Source organism: Homo sapiens, chromosome 22 (assembly GCF_000001405.40).
Source record: "Homo sapiens chromosome 22, GRCh38.p14 Primary Assembly".
Classification (NCBI taxonomy): domain Eukaryota; kingdom Metazoa; phylum Chordata; class Mammalia; order Primates; family Hominidae; genus Homo; species Homo sapiens.
Window position 1 is genome coordinate 46,444,725 of NC_000022.11, and position 15,387 is coordinate 46,460,111.

The 15,387-nt window shown below is 55.2% G+C and overlaps 1 protein-coding gene across 6 annotated transcripts in view, besides 3 other annotated features; it reads right to left on the reverse strand.

Annotated features, from left to right (window-relative positions):
• The window catches only part of CELSR1 (cadherin EGF LAG seven-pass G-type receptor 1), a 176,447-nt gene that overhangs the window by 83,551 nt on the left and 77,509 nt on the right, over nt 1-15,387 (reverse strand). The gene's annotated exons all lie outside the window — the stretch shown is intronic.
• Nucleotides 8,544-9,126: an enhancer, noted in NCBI's record as "H3K4me1 hESC enhancer chr22:46849165-46849747 (GRCh37/hg19 assembly coordinates)". NCBI's record gives its function as "activates a minimal SCP1, AML or CMV promoter by ChIP-STARR-seq in primed H9 embryonic stem cells {active_cell/tissue: H9 hESC(primed)}" and the evidence as "EXISTENCE:reporter gene assay evidence [ECO:0000049][PMID:30033119]".
• Nucleotides 9,127-9,710: an enhancer, noted in NCBI's record as "H3K27ac-H3K4me1 hESC enhancer chr22:46849748-46850331 (GRCh37/hg19 assembly coordinates)". NCBI's record gives its function as "activates a minimal SCP1, AML or CMV promoter by ChIP-STARR-seq in primed H9 embryonic stem cells {active_cell/tissue: H9 hESC(primed)}" and the evidence as "EXISTENCE:reporter gene assay evidence [ECO:0000049][PMID:30033119]".
• Nucleotides 10,808-11,308: an enhancer, noted in NCBI's record as "H3K27ac-H3K4me1 hESC enhancer chr22:46851429-46851929 (GRCh37/hg19 assembly coordinates)". NCBI's record gives its function as "activates a minimal SCP1, AML or CMV promoter by ChIP-STARR-seq in naive H9 embryonic stem cells {active_cell/tissue: H9 hESC(naive)}" and the evidence as "EXISTENCE:reporter gene assay evidence [ECO:0000049][PMID:30033119]".

The window sequence follows — 15,387 nt, forward strand, 5'->3', positions numbered from 1 at the left end:
GTCGCACAGGCCAGGAGTCCAAAATCAAGGTATCAGCAGGGCCCAGCTCCCTCTGGAGGCTCCAGGGTGGATCTCTCCTGCCTCTACCAGCTTCTAGTGGCTCCCAGCGTCCCTGGCTTGTGGCTGCATCTCTCCAATCTCTGCTCTGTCCTCACAAGGCCGTCAAATCTCCCTCTCCTTCCTGTTATTAAAGACACCAGGCCGGGAGCGGTGGCTCGTGCCTGTAATCCCAGCACTTTGGGAGGCTGAGGTGGGTGGATCACCTGAGATCAGGGGTTCGCGAGCCTGGCCAACATGGTGAAACCCAATCTCTACTACAAAAATTAACCGGCGTGGTGGCAAGCGCCTGTAATCCCAGCTACTTGGGAGGCTGAGGCAGGAGAATCCTTTGAACCCAGGAGGCGGAGTTTGCAGTGAGCCAAGATCACACCACCATAGTCCAGTCTGGGTGACAAGAGCGAAACTCCACCTCAAAAATAAAAAATAAGGCTGGGTGTAGTGGCTCAGGCCTGTCATCCCAGCACTTTGGGAGGCCGAGGCAGGTGGATCACCTGAGGTCAGGAGTTCGAGACCAGCCTGGCCAATGTGACAAAACCCCGTCTCTACTAAAAATATAAAAATTAGCCGGGTATGGTGGCGCATGCCTGTAGTCCCAGCTACTAGGCAGGCTGAGGCAGGAGAATCTCTTGAATCCAGGAGGTAGAGATTGCGGTGAACCAAAAATTGCACCATTGCACTCCAGCCTGGGTGACAGAGCAAGACTGTCTCTAAAAAAATGAATAAAAAATAAAGACACCAGTCATTGGATTTAGGGTCCACCCTAAATCCACGATGACTTAAGGACCCAAACTCATTACATCTGGAAAGAGCCCATTTCCAACTGAGGTCTCATTCTGAGAGTCTGTGTGGACAAGGATTTTGGGAGCCACTGCTGAATTCACTACAGTGGCCCTCCGTGTTTGTCCTGGAATTGCAATCGCGTACATTCTAGCCTCTGCAAACCCGGTGCCCCGAGAGCAGCAGCGCCTGGCTGGCAGAGCCTTTCCCGTCGATGCTTCGGAGGTGGAAGCGTCCAGGACTCCCCGGGTGCTGTTCTCCCTGCTTGCAGGAGATGCTGCTCCTGGCCTTTGCCAGCTCATCCTCCCACCCAGCCAGGGAGAGGTGGAGTCCTCACTGCAACCCCTCCTGCCTCCAGCAGCCCCCTGCACAGCCACAAGCCCCCTCGCCTCGCGGCCCCTGCTCCTGCCGCACAGCCTCCAGACCTACTTGTCCCTTGCCTCGCGACAGCACAGTCCTCCACAACGCTGGCCTCACCATGTGTCAGTCCCACTGGCTAGACTCCCACTGCTCCATAAAGACCCCAGCCTAAGGGGTCCCAGGGCCCAGCCCCCAGCCACACACCCAGCCCCCTCCACACCATACTCACGAGCCTGTGCCGGCCCCACTGTCTCCCTCCTCCCAGGGCAGCTACAGATGGCCCTGTGCGTACACTGCAGGCCATCCTCCAGCCCCGCGTCCTCTCTCTTAGTCTCTGCATGTGGCTTTCCAGTGCCTGGAGGCCACCCGCATCCCCTGGCTGTACCTGTCCTCTGCCTCGAGCACTCTCCCTCTGGGGAAGCTCGGGCCACCTGCCTGCTTAGGGTGACCCTGGGGGCTCTCATGGACTCAAAATCTCCCCTCTCCAGCAATCGCCCCACCAGCTCCACATCCAGCCCTGCTTGTGCGATGGTTCCCCCGTGTGTTTCTCTCCCCAGCTCTGTGCAGGCAATGACAGGGTCTGTTTGGGGGCCAGTCTGAGACTGTCAGGCACACAGCGAGTGCCGAATAAATGCCTGGTGTGTGCAGGGCATATGCTGAGCACCTGGCAGGGAGGGTCGCAGGGGGTCGGTGGGGGGGAAAGCTGGGTCCATAGCAGGTACTGACAGACACTTGTGAAATGAAGTCAAAAAATGCCAGGATTTCCCCAGTTCCAAGCCAATGACTGATGCCTGCACTTAATCCATGAGTTACAAAACGACATAATTCCCATATTTGATTCAAATAGTGCAGGAAAGGTGTTGATGAAATGAATTAATTTTATAGTTAAAACATCTTTTCTTTTTTTTAATAAAGGACCATGAGAACCAAGAGCAACTGGGTTCTGGATGAACTGGACCAGCCGGGGAAGGTCCTGTCCCTGTGTTCCTTAGGGCTGACTCCTAGCACAGAGCCAATTCAGGATTCCCCTGAGGGTTGGTGGTTAAGCACTTGCAGCACAGCCCTGCACAGAAGATAAAGTTAAGCAAAGCGGGAGTGGATTACAGTACTGTTTATAGGGAGCTGGAGGGGCTGCTAGCATGAGTGGATTACAGCGCTGTTTAAACAAGGTAACTGGAGGGGCTGCTCCCCACCAACCCTCAGGGAGAATCCTGAATTGGCGGCATTTGTAAACACTCCCACCAAGGCTGAGTTGAAAAGAGATGTGATATGACAGATTTTTAATTCTAAAATCATCTGAAGGTAAATAGGTCAAATTTAGTGAGCTCTGTGTCTTTTAGCTCTGTATCTTTTATTTTCTAATAGAGCTTTTATAAGACACACTATTTTCATAAAATAAATGTTCAGCTATGCTGACTATCAGGATTTATCTTTCCTTTTCTAGGAATTCTCATTCAAAATAAATTTGATGTTCTCCTTACACCCTAGGATTCTGCTTGGAGTCAAAGGCTTGCTGAGTCATTCAAACCTGGGGGAAATTCACCCATACTCTGCACACCCCCATCACCATGGCAGCCTCGCCTCCCACACCAAGGATAGAGTCCACCTGGGCAAACCTATTGCTGTGCTCACTCACGCATGCAGCCTGCCAAAAGCTCCCCCTCTCCCCGTAGGAGGGACGCAGGGCTCAGCTTCCTGGCTATAGTACAGAAAAGCTTTTTAAGAGAGTCTTACTCTGTCGCCCAGGCTGGAGTGCAATGGTGCGATCTCGGCTCACAACCTCCACCTCCCAGGTTCAAGCGATTCTCCTGCCTCAGCCTCCCGAGTTGCTGGGATTACAGGTGCACACCACCACACCTGGCTAATTTTTGTATTTTAAGTAGAGACGGGGTTTCACCATGTTGGCCAGGCTGGTCTCGAACTCCTGACCTCAGGTGATCTGCTCGCCTTAGCCTCCCAAAGTGCTGGGATTACAGGTGCGAGCCACCACACCCGGCCAGAAAAGCATTCTTAACGGCAAAAGAAAAGCTCCCAGGAGCCAAGGCCCATCCAGCCCTCATGGCCTCATGCACCTGCCCCGCCACTGGGGACCTGTCCCATACCAGGCTTGGGGCTGGTGCACTGCCCTGCCTGCCCAGAGACCCTAGCACCAAAGCCATCAACCCTTGGCCTAAGGGGCTTCCAGAAAAGCCCTGGCTTCACAGGGCTTCAGCAAACGGCTTACCTGCTGCAGGCGGGGGCTGGGTGCTGGGTGTGCTCCTGGTCTGTGAACAAGGAAGGGGGTGCCCAGAGGGTCTCCACATCATTACATGGAGACTCTGGCAGGGGGCTGGACACAAGCCCAGGGAAGACAGAGGGCATGGGGGTGGGGGCAGAGGGCCCACGCGAGGGGATGCTGATGTGAACCCCTGGCTCAAGAGCTCCAGAACTTACCCCTGGGGGGCTGCTCCAGGAGCTAGGAGAAGAGAGATGCAGGGTCTCAGGGCTCACCTAGAGAGGGGGCACAGCAGGCAGAGAACCTCAGGACCTGGGGGAGGGCTGGGAACGCGCTGGGAACGTGCCCCAGGAGGGGAAGGGCGTGTAAAGATTGACCACTTAAGTTCTTAAATAAATAAAAAGACAATTCCTTTCTGGTCCTAAGAAACAGCTAAGAGCTTTGAACTAGAAAAACTAGAATTTCCAAAGGCCACAATGGTAAAACTCAAGCACTTGATGAAGGCTTAGTTTATGCAGAATTAACGATCAAAATGAAACACAAGAACAGAGAACAAGGAGTGAGTGGAAGGGCCCGGGAACAGGAACACAGGGCAATTTCAAAGTCAGGTCATATCACGCAAATGCACAAAACCTGAAGTCAACTCAAAGCCCCATCAAAGAGCTCAGTCCTAACACTGGATCCTAGGATGCAGAAAGCACAGTCTTGAAGACACAACCCAACAGCGTGGCTCATGTGTCAGAAACTTCACTACCAGAGAAAGCACACAGATAGGAGGCCAAGAGGGGAACGTTACAGGGTTTCTAAGAGGAAAAGGGTATGTCAGAAATGATAAAACACCACACGAATTTGCCCATCTGTTATTCCATTCACTCATCTATCCATCCTTCCATATACCCACCCACTCATTCACCCACCCCTCCACCCTTCCATCCATCCATTTATTCACCCATGAATCCATCCACCCATCCATTGTTCATCCACCCACCCACCCAGCTTCCATCCACTCACCCAGCTTCCAAGCACTCACCCAGCTTCCATCCAACCACCCATCACACATCCATCCATCCATCCGACCACCCATCACACATCCATCCAGCCATCCAACAACCCATCATGCATCAACCCACCCATCCAACTATCCACCATTCATCCATCTATCCACCCATCACACATCCATCCATCCATCCATCCAACCACATCACACATCCATCCAACCACCCATCACACATCCATCCATCCATCCAACCACCCATCACACATCCATCCATCCATCCAACCACCCATCACACAGCCATCCATCCATCCAACCACCCATCATGCATCAACCCACCCACCCAACTATCCATCATTCATCCATCTATCCACCCTTCCACCTACTCACCTGCACTCAGCTGCCCACCTGTCCCTCCACCCACTCATCCATCTAATAAACTGCCAGCGTGGGCCATTCTTTAGGCAGTGGGGTTATAAGAATGAACAAAACAGATCCCTGCCCTCATGGAGTTTCCATCTAGGTAAAAAAATGTCAGATGTTCAGAAAAACCAAAAATACATGAAGAGTTATAGCAGATGGAAAAAGCAGAGGGGGAAGCTTTGAAGGGGTGCTGGCATGGAGGTGGAGGGGAGGGGAGGGGTCAAGCTGAAGAATTCAGGCAGGGCAGCCATCAAAGTAGGGTCAGGACCAGAAAGGGTGGGCACAGCTAAGGCTCCTCGCCAAGCCCTTTCCACCCCATCAGATTCCAACCAAACCTGAGAAAGTACCTCCAGCCTCCAACATACATGGCTCACGTGCTCACACACACTCACATGCACGCACTCACATGCTCACACACACTCACATGCATGCCCACAGGCACACACAGGGGTTCCCACCGCAGGGCAGTGGAGGCAGAGCCCCAGCCCTTTCCTGTTCTGCAACGTGACAGTCCCACACCAGCAAGGCCCCCACCGGAGATAGGAGCTGCACAGAAAAGCCCAGGCGGCTGCAGCCTCAGCAATGGGTCATGCACAGCAGTCCACTGCCAGTCAGGACCCTGCCTCTTCCCGGGGACTTCAGAACCCCTGTGGCATGCAGCCCCAGGCAGAAGCCAGGCCAGCAGAGGCCCCCAGCCACCAGGGCCTTTGTCCAGCAACAGAGCTGTGGGGGAGGACGTGCTACCAACTCGGCCCTGCAAGGCAGGCTGACATAGAGATGGAGGGACAGACAGGGCAGGGCCACATGGCGTCCCAACAGCTCAGGTGACGCTCCCTGACCCTGGGTATCCCCAGGTTCACATTTGGGGATGAGAACATGAGCACTTTCACAGCAACCTCCTCCAGAGGTGAGCACAGTCCACACATGACCTTCCCTACAAGGCAGGCCGCAGCACCTGGCTGGTCAGATGAGTACACGAAGGTTCAGAGAGGGCAGTTACTTGTGCTGGGTCACACAGCTGCATGGGTGGGAGCGGGAGTTAAGCCTGCATCTGCCTTAATGTCCACACAGAGCTTGCAGGGACGGGTCCAGTGAATGAGTGCACCTCACTGCCTTCCCTGGACAGGTGTCCCCTCCGAATGTCCCTATAGGAGAGGCCGACCAGGAGGCGAGATTGCAGGGGCCTCAGCACCCCATTCCAAACCCCCACAGCACTGCTGTCAGGACAGAGGTTTCCTGAGCAAGATCCTGGCTAGTGCCTCAGTTTCCCCAGCTGTAATAAATCCATCCCCCAAGGCAGGGATTTCTGTCTCTCTTGGGCCAGGAGCATTCCCCAGCACTAACAGGCTGATGTGAGTGAAACAGCTCATTTGGTACGGCTGTGAGCTACGCACCTGCGCAAGGGCGAGGTTACTATTACTGGTCCCTGTTCCTCCTGTTCCTCACTGCCTTCCTGAGACAGGAGGCACCCTCTGTTCACCCCTCCATGCCCCACTCCCTCTCCTCCTCCCCAGCTCCCACCGGGAACTGCTGTCTGTCAGCACCCACGTCTGCCCTTGGGTTTCACGCATTGTTTGACTTTCTCACCTCCTGGTGACTTGCTCTGCACCTGGAATCCCTCCTGAGTCACACCTACAGGCGGCCCAGCCCTGCCCCACCTGGCAAGGTAGCCAGGAAAGCCCTCAGCAGGAGGCCCAGACCCCCGCCCCACAAGGAGGGAGCTGGGAAGGGGGAGGCCAGGGGAGCCCGGCACTGCAGAAGCCGCTTGTCCAGGGCTGGCCTTCTCTGCGTGACTGCATTAGTGTCTCTGAAACAAATTCCCAGATGATCTCCAGACACACCCATTTAAAAAAATAAGAAATGCATTCCAGCAGCAAAGAAAAATGATTCCCACTGATCCACTGCTTTGCTGTTTCTTACGGGAGTCACCTACACGCTGAGGGCTGGAAACCCTGCCGAACCTGAAGGATGGGTGCATGTTTGACCGTCTTCTGGTGCTTGCAGCAGCTCCAAGCCAAAGGCTCCAGTAGCATGCGGGCCCAGGTGACCCCAGCCTGGAATCACCCTCGGGGACACAGCCTTTCAGAAGAGGGGCTCCCTACAACCTCCTTCTCCACAACACCGACGATGGAGGAGAGACTAGGAAATAACCCACCCTGTAATGGGCTACACGGTGGCCCCCAAAAGGAAGTGTCCACATAGTAATTCCTAAAATCTGGGAATGTTACCTTATATAGCAAAAGAAGGAATTTTACTTATATGGCAAAAGTGCAATTAAGTTAAGGATCTTGAGATGAGGCAATCCGATTAGCAGGTGGGCTCGATGCAATCACAACATGAATTATCGTAAAATGAGCGCAGAGGGAGATGAGAAGCAAGGGGAAGGGCTGGTGCACAGGGAGGCAGAGCCTGGAGCCAGGCAGCCGCAAGCCAAGGCCTGCAGCCACCAGGCGCCGGGGAGGCAGGGGGGCTCCTCCTAGAGCCTCCAGGAAGCGCAGCCGGCCCTGCCAACACCTTGATTTCGGCCTTCCAGCTGCAGAACTGAGGGAAGGCATGTCTGTTATTTTCAGCGCCCCGGTTTGTGATCACTTATCACAGCAGTCCTAGGAGAACGAGGCCCAGAACACACCGAGGAAACCAGCCAGTCAGCAGGAACCCTCTTCCAGGGTCAATCTCCTGAGGAAGCTGCACCCCAAAGCCTCCCAGCATCTCCTGGAGCCTACACAGACCTGGAGCCACGGGAGATAAAACACTCCTTGTTTGCCAGGGCTCTTATGGCACCGGGAAGACAGCGGCATGAGGACCCAGTGTGCCAAACAAACACAGCGTCTCCTGGGCCCGAGTGGACTCGGGAAGTCCTGGTTGCCAAGACTGGTAGGGGAGGGGCAACCACAGGACTCTGGATACCACAACACCTGGTCCCTGGCACTGGGGGTACACACAGCTGGCACTTAGGGGGCGGTCAGCCCTGCTGATCACCAGGACATGAGGGTCCCTACAGCCCCAGCACCAACCTGGGTACAGAACCCCATCTCGACTCCCCCTGCAGGGCGTTTCCAACCCCCTCAAAACAAACCCAGGGTCCTTCCAAGCCAAGGCGTGGGCCAGGGACTTGGCTCTCTTTAGAAGGACGTTGGTGGCAGCTCAGGAGGCCTCCAGGACCCAAGATGAGGATGAGCCTGGTGGTGGGTCCTACCTAGAGGGGACAGGGCCCAGCCAACACTTCCTGGTCCTGGAGTGAGGGGGACGCAGACTTCACGCCGCCCTTGGCCCAGCACATGCCAAGAAGACAGTGCCACTGTCGGGCAGGCGGGGCTCCCCTGTGCCCTCCAGGCCTCAGTAGTTGCTTTTCTCCAGGGGCCATGGGGTTGGGCACAGCCTGGAAACAGCCTTGTCCAGGGAGGATAGAGTTGAGTGGGGACATTCAGGTGGGATGGGTCTAGGTCTTCCACCCAGGGGAGAGGGCACTGTGCAGCCTGGCGCCCCACTGAGCACTTGGCTCCTGATGGTAGGGAGAGGGCTGGCCCTGCCATGCCTCGGAGGGAGGCAGGTTGGGGGGCCTGGATGTGGGGCCAGGGTCTGGCCATGCTCCTGCTAGACATGGAAAGACGACCGAGGAAGGTGAGCCAGGCAGCTGTGCACAGCAGGGCTGGAAGGGACGTGCCCGGTGCGTTCGTTATCAGCATGCAGGGAAACCGTGCCAACTACGAACAGCAGCATGCCCGGGCTCAGCTGGAATGCTAGCGAAAACCTCACTCATCACGAGAAAAGGCTGCTCAGCACCCCAACGGTTCAAATTCCCCTGGCCACACCAGTGCGGGCCAGGACAGACAGTGCACTAGTGACAGATCAACGTCCAGAAAAAATGAGCACGAATTCTTAATTCATCACTTGGAGTTGGGGGTCACGAACTGCCCTCATTAATACAAAGTCTACCCCCGCTATGTCCAGCCAGCTTCATCTGATAAGTGTAACCCCACCACACCCAGCCCTGGCAGGCCAGAGGTGCGTGATTAACCTGGCCCCTGGCCCCCAGGAGCAGGACAGAGGCGGCTTTGTCTGTCCACACCAGAGAAAAGGCTTGAAAGTGCTGACCGGAAGCGGGTGAGAGAGCAGAGAACACTCGCCCCCGAGGTCGTCTGGGTCACTACTCTCAGGGCAGAGGCTCAATTCGGACTCTCCAGCAGCTCCCAGCAGCCCTGGGTCCAGATCGTGGCCGGTTATAAACAGCAGAGACTGCCAGACCCCCACCACAGCGCCGATGGTGGGACCTGCTCACTACGCATGCCTTCAACAAATATTTACCGGGTGTGAGTGGTCGAGATTGTTTAATTAGGGAGAGGAGACACCAGGAGCAGCCGGGGTTGTTAGCAAAATAATGGACCCCAAAAGGCGTCCACATCTTCATCTCTGAAAGCCAAGGATGTGTGACCTCAAGGCCTAAGGGACTTTGCAGATGTGATTAAGGATCTTGAGACGGGGCAGTCATCCTGCATTACTGTGTGGCCCCAAAGTCATCACAAGGCTCCTTGTAAGCGGTGGGAGGGTGAGGGGCAGAAGGTGCTAGTGGTGGAAGCAGGGGTCGGAGTGAGGTGAGGAAGGTGCCAGGGACTAAGGACCAGGTGGCCTCCAGCAGCTGAGGAAGGCAGAGCAGGAGGCCCTCCCCAGGGCCTCCCGGAGCAGCCCCGCCCACGCCCCTGAATGCAGGGCTCCTGCCCTCCAGAACAGTAAGAATGAATCCGTGCTGCGTTAAGCCCCTCGTGTGTGGAAATGTTACAGCGGCCACAGGAGACTCGTGCAGGGGTGAGCGAGCGTGCCCAGCCCTGCTGTCACGGAGCCCACACTCTCTCTGCAGAAGCAGCATCCCTCCAGTGCACGCACAGACGCCCATGACCCGCAGCCAGCCCGGCCAGGCAGCCTTGTCTCCCCTCAACAGCACAGACTTCGAAGTCACGGGGAACGGCGTGTGCTTTAAACCACAGCGAGGTTTCTATTGCATGCGGCTCGTCTTCAGGCCACTTTTCTAACTGTGGGCCAGACATTTCTGGGCAGATGTTTGTTCCTCACTGACTCACATTCCACACCTAGTTCAGCTCGCCCACCTCCAAGCTGTCCGGGTGGGACGCGGGAAACCCTCTGCTCCTGCGCTTAGCGTTCGCAAAGGTAAACACATCGCAGAAACCTGCCTCCCACCCTGGAGTGGCCCGTGGTCCTCGCAGACACGCGACAGGCAGGCCAGTGAGAAGCGCCAACAGCCCTGGTTCCCAAACTCCTTAGCTCCTCAGCGAAGGAGCACCCACGGCTGAATTGTGTCCCCAGAAAGATACGCTCAGTTACGAACTCCCAGTACCCTTGAAAGTGACCTTGTTTGGAAATAGGGTCTTTGTAGAGGTAATCGACTTAGGATGAGATCATTAGGGTGGGTCCTAATCCAGTGACCGGTGTCCTTACAATGAGATGGAAACCTGGACAGAGACAGACGTGCACGGAAGAACACAGTGTGAAGACGGAGGCGGAGACTGCAGTGATGCATCCGTGAGTCAGATACCACCTGGGGCTACCAGAAACTGGACGAGGCCAGGAGAGGCCCTCTCCTAAAGCCTTCAGAAAGAGCACAGCCCTGCAGGGACCTTGGCTTTGAATTTCTGGCCTCCAGAACAGTAAGACAAGAGACTTTTTTCTCTTTTTCTTTTTTAGACAGAGTCTCGCTCTGTCGCCCAGGCTGGAGTGCAGTGGCGCCATCTCGGCTCACTGTAACCTCCGCCTCCCAGGTTCAAGCGATTCTCCTGCCTCAGTCTCCCAAGTAGCTGGGATTACAGGTGCCTGCCACCGCGCCTGGCTAATTTTTGTGTTTTTAGTACAGACGGTGTTTCACCATGTTGGTCAGGCTAGTCTTGAACTCCTGACCTCAGGTGATCCACCTGCCTCGGCCTCCCAAAGTGATAGGATTACAGAGGTTCTAGTTTTGAATTCCTGACCTCAAGTGATCCGTTTGCCTCGCCCACCCAAAGTGCTGGGATTTCAGGCGTGAACCACTGCACTTGGCTTGAGACAACAGATTTCTGTCGTCTTCAGCCACTCAGTTTGTGCCGATCGGTTACAGCAGCCCCAGGAAGCTCACGGAAGCCGGAGGAGGACTGCAGGGTGTGAGGACCGTGCTGGGCTCCAGTGCTGGTGGGCTGTGCCTGCACACGCCGCACAGGACGCTAATTCTGTTTATCAAAAGCCCCAGCTTTGGGGAAAGAAATTGAGTGGAGAACAGGAGATATCTGGCTACATTGACCCACACCCTGATCCCCCGGCAAGATTTTTATAGAAAACAGTTATCCAGAAATGAAATAATGCCCCAGCTTTACAGCTACGTACCAGGGACATGGCAAATCTCAAAACCTGGACTCTGTACAAAAAGCCAAATGCAAAAGACTTGAGAAGCACCAAGGAGAGAAAAACTTGAAGTAATCCTGAATTATCTGAAAAGCACGTTTTCCCAAGAAAGGATTCTGTTACTGCTTTATTTGAGATTTTAATTACAGGTTATGTAATGAGTTTTATTTTGAATGATAATTAACGCTCAAGTTTAAGGACTAACTGCGACTTTACTAGGAATACTTGGAAGTGAAGCTTTAATCCTGGAAGCCACAGCGAGCACTGGCCCACGTGCAACCCTGCGCTAAGCAGACGTCACTCCGCAGGGTGATGGCACAGCTCGCCATGAATGAGGACCTTATCTGAAAGTGCAGAACTTGCAGGCTGGGAGGGATGAGTGCGTCAGCAGATCACATGAAGATGGAAAGCCCATGACTCTGATAAGAGAACCCAAAATAGGCCGGGCACGGTGGCTCACGCCTGTAATCCCAGCACTTTGGGAGGCCAAGGCGGGCAGATCACGAGGTCAGGAGATCGAGACCGTCATGGTTAACAAGGTGACACCCCGTCTCTACTAAAAAAAAATACAAAAAGTTAGCCAGGCGTGGTGGTGGGCACCTGTAGTCCCAGCTACTCGGGAGGCTGAGGCAGGAGAATGGCGTGAACCTGGGAGGCAGAGCTTGCAGTGAGCCGAGATTGTGCCGCTGCACTTCAGCCTGGGCGACAGAGCGAGACTCTGTCTAAAAAAAAAAAAAAAAAAAAAAAAAAGAGAACCCAAAATAAAACTCACAGCTGGAGTGACGTACACATTTTACAACAGAATCGCAGAAGGGCTAGAATTTATTTTTAAGATTTTCCCATGAGCACACAGGTGATTATGTTTTTACACCAGAAGTTTCTCTGTCCTTGAACCTACACAGATTGTCCTTGGCCCCAGGAGGCCCTCGCAGGGACAGTTGGGGACCATGACCTGGGGCGGGGGGTGGGGGGCTCATACAGGACAATTGCTATTGTCCCAGCCTAGGGAGTTGGTACAAAGCTCAAAGCCAGCAGCACTGAAGCGCTCCCAAGTGGCTACTCACCTACTCGGTTCCTGATTCCCAAACCAAGCTAAGGCCCCAGCTAGGGAGCACCCGACACTCCCGAAGTCCACGTGGCGTGGACGTACAGGGCCCACAGCACTTTGGGAGGCCGAGGCGGGAGGATCAGAAGGTCAGGAGTTCGAGAACAGCTTGGCCAACATGGTAAAACCCTGTCTCTACTAAAAACACAAAAATTAACCAAGAGTGGTGGTGCATGCCTGTAATCCCAGCTACTCGGGAGGCTGAGGCCGGAGAATTACTTGAACTCAGGAGGCAGAGGCTGCAGTGAGCCAAGGTTGTGCCACTGCACTCCAGCCCGGGCAACAGAGCAAGACTCATCTCGGGGGCGGGGAAAAAGATTATTCTCGCAGCCCCTGGGGTCCTAAAAGCAGGTGATCAAGAATAAACTCAACCCTAACAAAGCAGCCCCGGCCCACTGGCGCACACAGGAGGGGCACCCAGGTCTGCCTCTACCCAGACATGAGGTGAGTGAAAGTGACTTGTTGCCGTCCCCCTCCAAGATGTTCAGCCTTGCAGAAAAACCCGCCTTTCCTGTGATATCAGAGCTGCCACTCAGGAATGCGCCCCATGGGAAGACGAAGACGCTACCGTGATGACAAATCACCCGCTCACAGCGCGGACAGAGATGAGGAAGGCTTCCCGGGAATGCCCAGAGGCCTGGAGCCCACACTCCCGCTCACAGCTGTGATGAGCACGAGGGCGGACCCACATGGGAGCTTAGCCAGTGCTCACAGGGGCAGGACAGAGTCAGACATACCTCGGCGTCCCCTAGGAAGGGGCAGAGGAGACAGGGAAGGGAAGTGTACGTGATTGGAGGGTCCGGTTCCTCCTAGCTCAGCACCAGAGGCAGCACAGGCAGCACTCTGACCACAACACAGAATGAGTTTCAGGCCCCGAGGGCATTATCTCTGGCCTACGTGGAGGGGCGGGATGGCCAGCCCTTGTCTCATTTGCACACGGTGCCTGCTGCAGACCCGCGGGCATGTTCTGTTGGGCGGAGGACGCTGCTGTCTGCATCTAGTGCAGAGGGAGGAAGGTGACAATGACAAGCAAACACCACCATGGGGGTGAGGGCTGCAGGGAGGACAGAGGAGTGGGGACAGGGAGGGAACATTCAGGGAAGACCTGGGGGAAGGTGCGCTGGAGGGGCAAGCACCACGGTGAGAGAGGCCAGTGTGTGTCCCGAAGGCCAGAGTGACCTCAGCCTGGGGAGCCGGGGGTGAGGCTAGACCTCTGAGTGCCACAGGCCCAGTGACTGCACTTTATACTGGAGCACCGGTCACCCCAGGAAGGCCTGAACACTGATGTGACAAATGCCTGCTTCACCAGGCATCCTGGGCGCTCCGTGAAGAAGGGATCGTCAGGGCAGGACGAGGGTGGCAGGGAGGGCAGGAGAAGGCCCCACCAAGGTGATAACATGAAAACAGGGACAGGCAGCAGAGAGAAGAACTGGGCTGGGGAGGCAGCGTCATTAGGTCATGGCAAGAGGCTGAACGTGGGGCCAAGGGGCATCCACTGTGAGCCCGTGGGCTGAAATAAGGGATGGGGAGAGGAAGCAGGATCAGAGCAGGGAGTATCTGGAGTTGGTACTGGGGACACCCTCCAGGGGACCAGAGGGAAGAGGCTGGAGGCCCGGGGCATCTGACCCTCCCAGGAGCAGCTGTGAGACTCACCTCTCACAAGAGATCCCCAAGTCGAATCCTGGCCCCGCCCGCCTGGTGCTGCACCTGGGTGTTGACAGAACTGGGATGACAACTGTCCCACCTCCTGGGTTGTCACAGATACATGGGAAAGGCCGAGTGAGAGCAGAGCCCAGGACTTCCGTTCTTGGTCACCAGTAGAGAGTACTGTTCCCAGTTTAGGTTTTTTTTTGTTTGTGTTTTTGTTTTTGAGACAGTCTCACTCTGTCGCCCAGGCTGGAGTGCACTGGCATGATCTCGGGTCACTGCAACTTCCGCCTCCTGGGTTCAAGCGATTCTCCTGCTTCAGCCTCCCAAGTAGCTGGGACTACAGGCGTGTGCCACCACACCTGGTTTTTTGTATTTTTAGTAGAGACAAGGTTTCACCGTGTTGGCCAGGATGGTCTCAATCTCCTGACCTCGTGATCCACGTGCCTCGGCCTCCCAAAGTGCTGGGATTACAGATGTGAGCCACCGTGCCCAGCCGGTTCCCATTTTAGTAATGAGTGAGTGGTCGTAATTGTTTAATTAGGGAGAGCAGACACCAAGAGCAGCACCAGGATTCAAAACCGAGTCCTAAGGCCAGTCCTGATTTAATGAGGTCAGGTTTCTTGTGGGGAAGGAACAGCGGCCTCCCAGCCCCTCAGGTGTGAGGTTAACAGCTGCAAAGCCCCTCCGGGGCCACTGCATACCACCCATCACACTGCCCCTTTCAACCAGCACAGAAGGCGCCTTTCACAAAATGCTGTTAAACAAATGATGCAAGAGGAAGGATCTAAGCTGGTAAACCTGGCCGGCCGTTGACCCTCGAGGGTCTACAGCTGCAGCTCAGAAGCCAGAATGCCTGGGTTTGAATCCTGACCCCACCCTCCACAGTGCCAGCAGGGTCCTTGCCCTCAGCGCTGAGGCCGCTTCTCTGCCGTGGGGCGGCCCTGTGCACTACAGATGTCAAGCAGCATTCCTGGCCTCAACCCACCAGCACCCCCACCCCCAGCTGTGACAACCAAAAATGTCTGATTTTGTCAAATGTCCCTGGGGGCAAAATCACCCCTAGTGGAGAACCACTGGGCTAGATGCTTTGATGTCTTGTACCTCAGTTTCTATGACCCCATTATAAAATGGGATCATAGAGCTGCCTCGAGAAGTCAATGAGAAAATACGTGTAGAATCATCTAGAGCAGTAACCAGCAGAGCAGAGCACCACTAAACATTAGCTACAATCCGGCCAGGCGTAGTGGCTCACGCCTGTAAACCCAACACTTTGGGAGGCCAAGGCAGGCGAATCACCTGAGGTCAGGAGTTTGAGACCAGCCTGGCCAATATAGCGAAACCCAGTCTCTACTAAAAATACAAAAAATTAGCCGGGCGTGGTGATGCATGCCTGTAGTCCCAGCTACCCAGGAGGCAGAG